Source organism: Homo sapiens, chromosome 8 (assembly GCF_000001405.40).
Source record: "Homo sapiens chromosome 8, GRCh38.p14 Primary Assembly".
Classification (NCBI taxonomy): Eukaryota; Metazoa; Chordata; class Mammalia; order Primates; family Hominidae; genus Homo; species Homo sapiens.
This window is the reverse complement of record NC_000008.11, coordinates 4538576-4552557: the sequence shown is the minus strand read 5'-3', so window position 1 is coordinate 4552557 and position 13982 is coordinate 4538576. Positions and strand designations below refer to the sequence as shown.

At 37.9% G+C, this 13982-nt stretch overlaps 1 protein-coding gene across 3 annotated transcripts in view; it reads left to right on the top strand.

The window, feature by feature from the left end:
• CSMD1 (CUB and Sushi multiple domains 1) overlaps nucleotides 1-13982 on the top strand; it is a 2059554-nt gene that overhangs the window by 442357 nt on the left and 1603215 nt on the right. The gene's annotated exons all lie outside the window — the stretch shown is intronic.

Here is a 13982-nt window from a genome sequence, read left to right as displayed (position 1 = left end):
TGCTTCCCAGGGAATGGAAAGCTGACTTCATTAATCTTCTCCAGAGTTCTGCATATATCTGGGCAGAAATTTCCCACCCAATAAATCTGTTCTTGGTACTATTTCTACACCTTCACATTGTTGAACCAATAGGAGATGGGAATGGATGCAAGTCTTTGAGACAGGATTCGGGATTTGAGTAGGCTCTTCCTTAAAGTTCACAGAAGCCAAAAGAAAAAAAAAAGAATGTGAGATTTGAGTGTAGGGATATGCATAACGTTTCAGGGAAGGATTTTCCCAGGTCCTTCTGAAGCAGAAACACAGCAGATGAGTTACTAACCTTGAAAGGGAGGCTCACATTGAGACCAAGCTACATAGAATAGCATGCTTTGTATCTTAAGATTAAAAAACAAATGATGTTTAAAATCCCAATGCATGTTAGATTTTGTGCCTTCTAAGACACCCCATTAATGTCAGTGCTAGCATATGTCAGTTCCTTATTTCATTCAATTGACAATAATTTGATTAGTAATTTTGAAATTAAACTGTTAAAGCTACTTCTAGATCTTTTAGTTTGCTAAAGAATGTGACCAGCTAGGAGCAGTGGCTCATGCCTGTAGTCCCAGCATTTTGGGAGGTCAAGGTGGGCAGATTGCTTGAGTCCAGAAGTTTGAGTCTGCCTGAGCAACATGGTGATACCCCATCTCTACAAAAAAAAAAAAAATACAAAAAATTAGCCATGTGTAGTGGCATAAGCCAGGTATCCCAGCTACTAGGGAGGCTGAGGTGGGAGGATCATTTCAGCCTGAGAGGTTGCAGTGAGCTATGATTGTACCACTGGACTCCAGCCTGGACTCCAGCCTGGGAGATAGAGCAAGACCCTGTCTCAAAAAATAAATAAATAAATAAATTGATCCTGAGAAGTGTTGGGACCAACATTGTCCTGTATGTTAAACTGAGAAGCCTGGATTTGATGGCAGCATCTTGAGTGTGGGGTGACATGGTGGTGCCTGGAACCTGCAGAGAGTCAGCCAGGGAAGACCATAGGGATGGTTGGGCAGGTAGCATTCAATTTCAAGTTGTTTTTCTGCAAACTAAAATATCACCATCAGGTCAAATCCTTCGTGAAGAATGAGAGGATCTAAGTGAAAACAAAAGAAAGGACAGTAGTCCGCATGGGGTTTGGTGGGGAGGAGAATTAAGGGTAGTGGATGAAATGGTGTACACAGCACACCAAAGGCACTCACAGCCGGGGGACCATGAGAAGACAAGAGATTGGGTTTCACATACAGCCTTGAGTCAGTTGGATTTTAACTATAAAAAGATAGCCTGCCTCTGCATTCGAGGATTTTCAGTATTACAGGAGGGTTGGTGGAGCTGGTGGACATTTCTGAGCTGAGTCCGTGGAAGGTAAGATACACAGGATCTCCACATAGATGTTGCCAGACCCAGGTCAGTGTCTCTTTAGGTAATTATAACCACATTTTATTTTAAAACATTCAAAATAGTGAATCTAGTTTTGAGAATTTGTTGTCAAGGACTACTTCAAAAGGCAGGATTTTATAAATCCTGATATTAATTTGGGCAGCCTTTGTTTGGTGTATTTCTTTTTAATGAATTCGTTGAAATGCTCATAGTCAGATACTCAGGAAACTAACTTGAGCCAAGTCCTGGGTCTCCGTTTTCTAGTATGTAAAATGATAGGATCAAAGTATTTCAAGGAGAGCAAATAGTTTTCCATTTCTGTGTCGACTTGGACCAATTGGTGGTGGTTTGTAGAGCACTGTGTTGATAAAGATGATTAAACTGCCTCCGGGCTCAGAAGAAAAAGTTGTTAAGATTGATTTTAAACATGTGACACTGTGGACTGGATAATAGACAAGGTGAGTTAGGAGAGTATATTTGTCACCTTTGTCTAGGTAAACTGTTAGAGATCCTTTTAAATCCCAACATCTATGATTTCATTACCTATTTAAAAATCACCTGCTTTTGTGTTTTCTGGTTTTTAAAAAATGTTTCAAAAAATAAACTTTATCCTGCAAAAATAGGAGTTTTTGGTTAACAGCTTCCGCACAGTTAAAGATAGAGAATAAGCTGATGTATCAAAGTGACCTAAAAATGCAATACCTTTAGTTTACAGTTTTTTTAATAGCCAAGAAATGAGTCATCTAAGCTAGTGGTGATGTTCAGCTTTCTATGCCATCTAGGGACCGGGTTTGTGTGTGTGTGTGTGTGTGTGTGTGTGTGTGCGTGTGTGTATGCTTCTTCCAATGAAATGTGTTGTATTCCTCATGATCAAAGTTGGCCGTGAAACCACAACCATGGAAATGAGAAGCAAAAGTGAAGGCTGAGAAATGTGCTTTCAAGAGGTACAGGGAAAGTTGCACACAGCACATCCCATGAACTTCTTTTGCTGAGACCTTCGTCATGTGGCCACACCAAGCAGAAAAGGAGAACTGGGGAAAAGTCCGTTTCTACCGAGCAACCCACGCCTATCCAAACATGGGGGTGTTCCAATTCTGAGGATGACAAAAAGGAATGCTGCAGCCACTTTTCTCCTCCACTCTTGTCCTTGATTAACAGAAATGTGACTCAAAAGTTACCATTTTAAGAGAATGTTGAAAATGGCCATTCACCTAAGTAATGTCTTTTCTTTTCTTTTTTTTTTTTTTTTTTTTTTTTGAGACAAAGTCTTAGATTGTCACTCTGGCTGGAGTGCAGTGGCAAGATCTTGGCTCATTGCAACCTCTGCCTCCTGGGCTGAAGCGATTCTCCTGCCTCAGCCTCCCAAGTAGCTAGGATTACAAGTGTCAACCACCACACCCAGCTAATTTTTGTATTTATAGATTTATAGTAGAGACGGGGTTTTGCCATGTTGCCCAGGCTGGTCTTGAACTCCTGAACTCAAGTGATCTTCCTGCCTCAGCCTCCCAAGGTGCTGGGATTACCGGTGTGAGCCACCGCGCCCGGCCATTCATGTCTTTGTTGATCCAAGAGTGCCAGCATCACGTAATGCGGGAGGCTGTGCACATGACTGTCTTTCTTGGGTAGGGAGGAATTGCAAAATTATCTGTAGGTTAAAGAGTTATTGGAAGACTGGGAATCAGTGGAAACCTATTTAACAGAGTCAATTAAAAAAGCAAAAGAAGATGGATAGAAATAAATCACAATTAGAAAACTGTTACTGTGTTTTGTTTAGGTTAACCAATATACCCCATTATTAGAGAGTCATTTTTCTTGTTTCTGGAATAATTTCTTTTACCCTTTTCCTTCCCCTCGCATTCCAAGTCACCTGGGTGTTTGGTCTTCCGTTATAATTTCTTTGGCATTCTGGAATATGGTAGGGTTGATAACATTACATTGCTGCCAATGGAGTGATTTCCAGAAATCAAGTCAGCTGAGAGGAATCCCTTGAGTCAGTCTGTGTAAGAAAGACAATTGGGGCAAGATGCTATTTTTTTAATGACCACTTTTCTTAAGTCAAACTTATGGAAGTTTAATGAAGTTAATGAAGTTAAAAACATTAAATGAATGTGAAAAGTCAACAAAATATACTTAATTACTCATAATCTGATAAACTTGGAAATAAAAAAATACAATTGCGTCTCAAAACTTTATGCAAAATTAACTTAGATAGATCAAATATGGAGGTAAGAGAAATTTCCAAGGTAACAGGATTCTAAATGTATTTTAAGGTACAGAGAAATACTTTACCTCCTGCGCGCATCACATGTCCCCCCAAGACCAAGGCAGTATGCTCTCCATATATCAGGTTGTTGCATGGTTTCCCGTGAACTAACAGGAAGGCACCTGGGAATGCAGCTGCTTTCAAAGCGGTTCTGTAATTACCTTGACAACTGGAGATCAGTTAAAAAAGAGAAATGCTTTGTAGACAGGTAGATGGAAAATCAAACACCTAATTGTGATGATTTTTGAAATCATTCTGTGGGGAAAAAAAGCCATTTGCATCTATTACTAATCAAATCATATTTAATTATATATTTAAAAAGAAAAGCTTGTGCATTGAATTCAGTGTGACATGAAAGGCATTCATTTTTTATTTTTGCATGGCATTTTCATTCTGAGGGCTTATGTCTTGCTTTATATGAATGCAATTACATTGATTTCATATTTATATGAAAGTCAGGAATGTTATAGCATAACAAAGAAATAGACTATGCGTCTAAATATACAACATGAATATTCAATGAACGACAAAATACGATAGAGTATTTGCTTCTTGGGGTGATATTATTAAAATAAAAATGAGACTTATACATGACTAAATTAAAAAGTGAACTTTTTTCGATAGTTTTCATAAAGATAACTTCATTTTTGCACTCAACGTACATTTTTTATTAAATGCCAATTTTTGACGGCGCTATGTTAGGCCCAACATAAGCTCTTGTAGGAGTCTCCAATCCTAGACATTCGGTACCATCCAAAACAGTATCATCATCAAAGCAAATAAACTATGAGAACAAGCTGTAATTCCTTCTTTACACTGTGCCTTTTATTTAATATATTGCAAGGGTTGGCTGTAACCCACAATGTTTTTTAAAGGGAGTACTGGATTGCTTGGGAGTGCCTGGCCTACATTTGCTCAATAAATGTAATTACCCTTCTTTTGTTTTCCAGACCCAAAACAAAGTTGTTTTCTCGGCCTTTATTTTGTCATGGCTGAATTATTGCTCAGATTTCTTCTGGGATATCCCGTCCAATCCCCGTGCAACAACAACAAAACCTAACCATTCTTGTTTCTCTCTGCCACATTAACACTCTATTTTCTTGAACATTAAATTTCCAGGGTACAAGAGTTTTCATTCAAAATTCCTTGTATCAGAATCATCTGCTTATAGCTTCTACTCCAGATAAGAGACTTTTTAATTTACCATTTCTCATACAGAACTCAATCATTCGTTTTACATTCATTGAGTATAATGTTTAAGTCTTTTTAATTGTGGAAAAACAGTAAAGAATGACACAGGCATTACTTGAGAGATAGATGATGGTTTATCCAAGTATCTACGAACAGGTAAATACAGTGAGAGCAGAGTGTGCATAGGGACCTGGTAGAAAAAAAGAGGCCAGAAATGTGGGCTGCTGCATATAATGAAAGTTTCTTTTTTTCTTTTTCAATCTGATGCTAGGAAGTTGTATTTTCTTCTAAAATCCACTCACAAATATAAAAGAAGAAAGTAATATTTTCAGATACGTGTTTTAGAAAGTTCACTGCTGTGGCAACGTGGAAAATTGATTGGAAAATTCAAGCCTAGTTATAATGCCTTTACATTTAGTAATCTGAAAGATGGCAACACCCAGACTCAGCAGCCGCAGGAAGGAAACCACAGAGGCAGAACCCAGGCTTGCTGGATAACGGGGGCCTAGTTTAATAAGTGGACGGGTTGGGATAGAGACAGAAAACAGCAGGTCTGATGAAATAATTTAGAAACAGGTCTGGGGGATGCATATATTGAATTTTAGGTGACTATGAAATATACAAATAGACAAGTCCAAAAGGTAGTTGGATGTATGAATTTGGAGCTCAAAGAAGATGTCTGGGTATGAATTATAGATAAGGATGTAGGGCACACAGGGTGATGCCTACTTCATGTACGTGAATGAGGCTATCCTGTAGGGGCAGAGGAGAATCAACATCTCAGGGATGGTGTGTTAGGGATCTCCAGAGAGAGACAACTAGCAGTGTACAGATAGGATATACATATATATGCATATGTTGTATTATATACAAATATTATAATTATAAATATAACTATGCATATATTTTTATATATTATATGTAGCATGTATAATTTATATGCATACACATATATATTTATTATGGGAATTGACTTAGCTATGATTATGAAGGCGGAGACGTCTCATGATCTGCTATCTACAGGCTGGAGATCCAGGAAAGCCATTGGCGTAACTCAGCCAAGGCCAAAGTCCTGAGAGCAAGAAGAGTTAGTGGTCAAAGTCCTGTCCTGAATCTGAAGGCCTGAGAACCAGAAGTGCTGATGTACTAGGGTAGGAGAAGATGGAGGTCCCAGCTCTGGAAAAGAGAAAATTCACCGTTTATCTTTTGTTCTTTGTGGCCTGCCATGGGTTGGTCGGTGCCCGTGGAATGGTAAGGGTGGTTCTTCACTCAGTCTGCCGATTCAAACTCTAATATCTTCTAGAAACCCCCTCACAGACACACTCAGAAGCAATCTTTTACCAGCTATCTGGGCAACCCTTACCCCAGTGAAGTTGACACAGAAAATTTACCATCATAAATGGCCGGAGAGGAAAAGACAGAAAAGAACATGGAAAGGACCCTCCAGAGGGAAAGAAGTGGTGGGAGCAGGGGCTTGTGGTCTTGTGCGACCAGGGCCAAGGCCCGTAGATATAACAAGGACATAATAAACTGAAAAATGTTCATTGGATTTTGATTCTAGAAGCCTCTGATGAGCTGAAGAAAGTTTCAGTAGAAATCTTTCCATTTATACCTGGGTGAGGGTGTCTGATGAAGTTGACTTGCAGGTGGTAAGTGGAGGGAAGCTGAAAAGTCTCTGTAGATGCAGCTGTGGATGGAATGCAGTAGAAGGGGGTCATAAGAAGGGGATTCAGGCGACATGGGAGAAAGTTTCTTTCTGAGAAAGAATAGGCAAGAATGTGATTAGATGATGGAGAAAAGAGAGAACTAAATGTAAAATATAGGGGATAGAGGACACCTGATGAAATGATCTTCCTAGAAACTGTCTCCTGTGTGGCCTAGATGATGAGCTAGTTTGCTCTGCAATGGATTTTAACATGGTGCATGATTCCAGGTACAGATGCGTTTTTCCATGGATGCCTGTGAAAGTGAGGAATTTGCTATCCGTTGGCATCAGCTTTAACAGAGAAAATAGTGAGCATGTCTCACTGCACACTGGGAAACTCCTAGGGTGTCTTACTCCTAGCCACGAACCAGCCAACCACTTTTTCTCTAGCCAGGGCTTCTGTTGCCAGTATCACTGTGACCCAAAGAACCTTTCATTTTTGTGTTACATTTTTATATATGTAGATTCTTTCGTAGGGTCGTGAGATCTACCCACTAGTTTATTTTTAAAGATATATTGAAAAGTAGGTAAACGAGCCCTTCCTATTTTTACCTCTCTCCTAATATGTAGGACTCTTATTAATCAAGGCAGACGTTGAGTGTTCATTGATTGAAAACTCCATATTTGGAGGAGAATAAAACGAAAGAATAATAAATATTTATGAAGGGCTTTTCTGGTGTTAGAAACTGTTGAGTCATTTTGCAACAAGTATTTCATCTTTCATTGAGAAAGCACTGTGAAGTAACTATACATTACTGCACCTCCCATTTTATGACTAAGAAAATGCAAATTCCATTGTTCAGGTTCTCATAGCTGTTTCTCACAAATATGATTTTTAAGAAAGGTCTGTTTCACTTTAAAACCTGTGCTCTTTCCAAGTTACTATGTCCCCTCTTAACATGCCTTTTATATACATCATACACACATATGTGTGCACACACACGTATATTGTTTAAATGGGTGCATGCATTCAGATACGTGCGTGATAAATATAGAGTAAAATGCATTACGAATATGCTTATAGACAACAAGTGACATATTATGTTTTTAAACTTCTCAAATATATTTCTGAATTTCAATGTAAGTGGAACATTAAAGACCAATGTGATGGAGAAGATTCCTTGCTGCTTATTCAATTCCAGTTCCCTATTTTTGGAAGCAGTGAAGCATTAATGTGTTACAGGTAGCTAATTCAGGTTTTTGGTCTATAAGTGAACAGCAGTGCTGCCCTTCAAAAATGGATTTGCTCTGACACTGTAACATTGACCCATGCCTGAGAATGAATTTTCAAGGATACATTGTAATACACCCTGGCTTAAAGCTGGACATGGAATACGTTAATGCATCTTACCAACTATAGTTAAATTGTATTATTTTATTTATAGTTGAAGATTTGTGTATATTTTTAAGATTAATATATAAATTTTTCCTTCTGTGTCCTCTAAAGCCTTATAAGTAATTTTTAAAAGTCAGCAGTGGATCCCAATGTAACATATATTAGCTAAAATAAAAGTCAATTTTTATGTAACGTTACAAGGAAAGAGTAAACTACATATAACTATTACAAAATTTTATAACTACTGTAATTTTTATTAATAAAAGTAACAATAGATTTTTTAAAAGAAAAACTTTGATTCAATAACAACTGGACATCTACCTACCAAAATTAAATAAATAAATTTAGATATTGACAATAGACCTCTTACAAACAGTAACTAAAAATGGCTCATAGACCTAAATATGAAATGCGAGACTATATAACCACACAAGGATGACAAAGGAGGAAACTCAGATGGCTTTAGGTTTGGCAATGGTTTTTACATACAACATCAAAGGTGTGATCCATGAAAAAATCATTTAAGTTGGACTTTATGCAAATTAAGAACCCTAAGAAAGACAATGTTAAAAGAATAAAAGGCAAGCCACAGACTGGGAAAAGTAATTGCAAAAACGGATTTCTGATAAAGGGCCTGTGTCCGAAAATATATAATTAAATGTAAAACTCAATAGAAAACAATGAACCTAATAAATGGGCTAAAGACCTTAACAGACACCTCACCAAAGATGATAAACAGATGTCAAATTATCATATGAAAAGGCGCTCCACATCTTATGTCCCTAAGGAATTGCAAATTGAAACAATAATCAGATACCACCACATTCCTAGTAGAATGGTTAAAATTCAAAATGTTGACATCAAATGCTGGTGAGAATATGAATCCACTGGAACTCTCAGTCATTAGCGGTGGGAATGCAAAATGGTACAGCCCGTTTGGAAGACACTTTGGTGTGGGTTTTTTTTTTTTTTTTTTTTTTTTTTTTTCAAAATTAAACGTGTCCTTCCCATATGATCCAGCCATCATAGGTATCTACTGAAATGAATTGAAACTTATGTTCATACAAAAACCTGTGCATGAACGTTTATAGTCAAAACTGGAAGCATCCAATATGTGTTTCGGTTGGTGAATGTATAAACTGTGGTCCATACAGATAATCAAAATTATTCAGGGCTAAAGGGAAACAATTAATTCATGCAAGGGCATGGAGGAAACTTAACTGCACAATGCTAAGTAAAATAAGCCAATCTGAAAAGGCTACAAACTGTATAATTCCAGATATATGACATTCTGGAAAAGGCAGAACTATGGGGACGCTAAAAGGATGGGTGGTTGCCAGGGGGTGGAGGAAGGGAGGGATGAACAGGTGAAGCTTTGGGGATCTTTAGGGCAGTCCACACCGTCAGATGTGATTCTGTAATGGTGGATGCATGACTTTGTACATTTGGCAAAACTTACACAGCTGTATAACACAAAGAAATAGAATGTCAATAATGGACTTGAATCAATAATGTATCAGTATTCATCAATTGTAATAAATGTGCCACACTAATGCAGGATGTTGATAATAGGGAAAACTATGGGAGGCATGTGAGGGGTATATATGAAATCTTATTTCTGCTACATTTTACCATCACCTTAAACCTACTCTAAAATATAGACTATCAATTTGTAAAACACTGGTTATAAATTGCAAATATGCCATGATTATAACTGTATGGAGGCAGGTGCCCTGAAGAAACATTAGATAAATATTCAAAAATGCTAATATATTTCTATTAGAGTGATAGAAATATACTGTGAAAAAAACTTTTTTCTTTATTTACAAATATTTAATAATATAATCATGTTATATTTCTTGAATATTTTAAAATATGTATGGCTACCATATGTTTACTTTGTACTTTCACTTATTTTTTTCATGACCATCCATTGAATTATATGTTCCCTAATTTAAATAGATTCAAACTATCTTCTGCCGCATAAGATACAGTGGTGATATAGTCTGTTAATCTCCATTCTCTTGCATTGGAGCAAAGTGAAGAAGTTACATTGAAAAAAATTGCGTTAGCAATAACATAAAATACTGGGCAAAAATGACAGCACCCTTTTATCTTCTAATTTGCAACAGCATTCATAAAGGAGGCTTCAATAATTGTGCTTTTTTAAAAAATTGATTTGGTGATCTATTCAAATATCCCATTGTTCTCAGAACTGTGTTCTATAAAACGTCAGTGTCTAGTGAGATTTTTAATGGTTATTCTTCTGAAGAGAAAACTTAAAAATTAAAACTTTTTTTTTGTTAGTAAGTTTGTATCTTTTATTTTCTGTTATGGAGAACGACAATTTATATTAACATATTCATGGGTTTTGTTGACTGTGTTTATCCTAATATTTCAAAAAAAAGGTATTTTAACTTGATTCTTTCTTCCATGAAACAAGTTGTGCCATATTTTTATTCAGAAAGTTTGAGGAAGACTTAGAACTAAGAGTTCTAAGAATGTGGATTCAGTATAGTGTTTACTTGCCCAAACTGTTGAGTTCATTGTCCAGAAATGAGCATATATTTCACTTGGTAAGAAGCTAGAGGGCGCCCATTGCACACGGGGACTTCAGGCTCTGGGACCACATTTGCTTCAATTGGCAACAGAGTGTGGCTCACAGCATTTCTTCCTCCACATCTGAGGTCAGTCAGGCCTCATCTGGAAATTCATCGCCTGCCAACATTCATCCTATAGAAATGGACAGAGTGCAGCTACAGGTGCGGCGCCTCCAGCCTCCATCCCTTCCCTGGCATTTCATATTGCTGACTGTACAGTTTTGTCAGGATTTATTGAGAATTCCACTTATTATTATTATTTTTGGTCAAGCATGGTGATATAAGAGTGATTCTTTTTTTCTTTATCTTATTTATTTATTTATTTAGACAGGGTCTCACTCTGTCACCCAGGCTGGAATGCAGTGGTAAGATCTTGGCTTACTGCAACCTCAGCCTCCTTGGTTCAAGTCAGCCTCCTGAGTAGTTGGGATTACAGGTGCTTGCCACCATGCCCGGCTAATTTTTGCATTTTTAGTACAGACAGGGTTTTACCATGGTGGCCAGGCTGTTCTTGAACTCCTGACCTCAAGCAATAGGCCCAGTTCAGCCTCCCAAAGTGTGGGGATTACAGGTGTGAGCCACGACGCCTACCGATTTTTGATAACGTGGGACACCTTGATCCAAGTGGAGCCCACTTAGAAGTGCAAAGGTGAAGGCAGTGCTTACAAAATAAGCAAAACTATAAAAACACTTTAACACATTAAAATCTTCAAAGGCAGTACCCACTGTAATTGCTGTAAGAACTGCATGGGGGTAGTTATGATCAGCACGTGCCAGTAGATCCTGGGGATGAGAGAGACGAACTGGCTCACTCTAAGTCACACAGTAGTTACTGGCAAAGCAGAGATGGGACTTCCAGTCCCTAGATGCAGCTGGAAATTCATGAAATTGAGCCCTGGCACCACTATTGGCTTAAATTGGTGGTAAAAAAATCAGTTCTCATAATTCTCAACTCTCCAGACAATAGCATTTTGGGGAAACACAAAAATGTCCTTAGAGTTTCTAACAATCGAGTTTGTGAAACATTTTGCTAAGTAAAATGAGGCATTTAAAGAGTTTGAGCTTTTCATGTTTCAGACCCTTTACCTGTGCTATTAACCCTATTGTATGCAAGAATCATAGCTGTTCAGTTTAGTCTACAGCCTCATAAAATTAAATAGCAGACTAGCAGAGTGGCGGAGAGTCAGACTTCCTGTGTTGCTGGTTTGGGTGAGCCTTTACCTTTTTTTGCCTCAGTTTTATCATCTGTAAAATGGGGATAATAACAGAAGGTACCTCACTGGTCCGGGATGATTAAGGTAAGTGGACAGCCCTTAGTACCTGGCACAGCTTAGACACTTGGTAAGCATCCGCAGTTACAGTGAACTCAGGATTATTCCAAGAAGCCTTTCCTGACCTTTGTACACTGTTAGGTGCTCCCATGTCTGGCCCCTCTCAAGGTTTATTTTCACTTCTGTTATAGTGCTTATTATCTTTAATTAAAATAATCTGTTTTCATTTCTTTCCCATCCATTAGGTTTTCAGATGAGGTCTCGCTCTGTTGCCCAGGCTGGTCTGGAACTCCTGGGCTCAAGCCATTCTCCTGCCTCAGCCTCCCCTAAGTCCTGGAATTACAGGCATGAGCCACTGCACCCGGCCTGAGGTTTTGAGATTTTCGCGGTTGTTGTTATTTTTTAATTTTCATGCTTATTTCACCAGTTTTGGGGGAACAGGTGGTGTTTGGTTGCATGGAAAAGTTTTTTAGTGGTGATTTCTGAAATTTTGGTGAGATGTTTATGGGCAGAAATCTTTCCTTATTTTACTTCTTGCTGGAATCTACCACATTATCTGAGCAAACCAGCAGCAGTTTAAAGCAAATCCCAGCCCCTCCTGTCAAACTTCATTCCTAACTTGAGTCCATCATGCTTTACATTGCACGCCAACCACTTTCGGTGTTTATATATTCATAGGGCTTATATATGGTGTCACGATAATCGTATTGAAAATAATATGACAGAAAGAAGCCGGGGGAGGTTCAGCTTGCTGCTTGGCGAGTGAGGAGGGGAAGAGGGCCCCGGTGAGCGGCTCAATAGCCATGGGCATCTGCAGGCAGCACCTGGACGGGGCGGAGTTTGGGCTGGGGTAGATGGGAAGAGAAATCCAGCCCTGAGATTTCCGCACACCCAACCTCTCTGGGGTTCCTGTCTTGAGGCAGAAGGTGACCCAGAAAAGAGTTTGGGAAAACTATTTCATACACATAATGCTTAACCCATATGGAAAATAAACCAGATTAAAACTATCAGAAAGTATTGTATTCTAAGTGACTAAAGATAAAACATTTTGTTTCCGTAAAATCACAATAATTCAAGGATAGAGCTAGGATATTTTCCCCTACTATAATCTTAATAAACAATATTCTCAGTTATTTTACCATTTAAATTTGCAGTCCACCTGTGGTACATCAAACTCTTTTTTCCTAAGTCCCTTTTAACATTATAAGCCAGTGTAACATGAGAAAAATGTTGGAAGTTTGCTAAATATGTTAACTCATTCTGTAAGGCTAATGAAATATTAGAGGATTTTGGGGGAAAGATATTTGCTTATATTTTTTTCACACAATTTCAAAGATGAGTTTTTGAAGACTGACTAAAAATGTAATGCCATCATAAATGAAATGATGATTCTGTGGGAACACTCCAAAAACATTCCTGCTGATCCATGGGCTTAGTGAAAGAGATTGGGAAGTCTATTTAGACTGAAAATGTCTTAAAAGATATATTTTACATCCCACATATGCATACTATCTTCCAGAAATACTGCATATGAAAGCTGAATGCAATATTTAGTGTCTGCTGACTTGTGGCAGTGGCAAACCTCAAATACAGTAATACTGCAAAATAATTCAAATTGTGTGTTAATTCACCCACAAAAAAATCCATTTTTAGCTTTTTCCACAGAATATGCTAAGCTAAAGGTCATTATGTAACATTTCTAAAAAGAAAAACAAAAGCCACACATTTTTCTGGCACCTAACACTGGCAATGGAGGATAACGTTGCCTGACAAGGGAGTAGGTTATTTTATTTATTTTGGCTGAGATTAGAACTGAAGCCAGAATTAGCATTTTGCTGAAAAAATAAAGCTTTCTGCATTCAATATGGGCTTTTAGATTCAAAGATTCCATAAAAGGGGAACTTTGGTAAGCAAGAACTGTACATTTGAGAAATCAGTTTTACCTTCTCACCAGCTTTGTGACCCAAAACAAGTTACTTCTTTGAGCTTCTGTTTCCTTATCTGTAAAATGGGTAAACACTAACTTCATCAAATCCCTTCATCAAATAATTTGGAGGTTTACTTGCTAGGATGTATGACAAGTGTCTTATCCAGGTTGGTACTACATTTTATTTTATTATATTTCATTTCATTTCATTTTTTTTTGAGATGGAGTCTTCCTTTGTGGTCCATACTGGAGTACAGTGGTGCGATCTCGGCTCACTGCAACGTC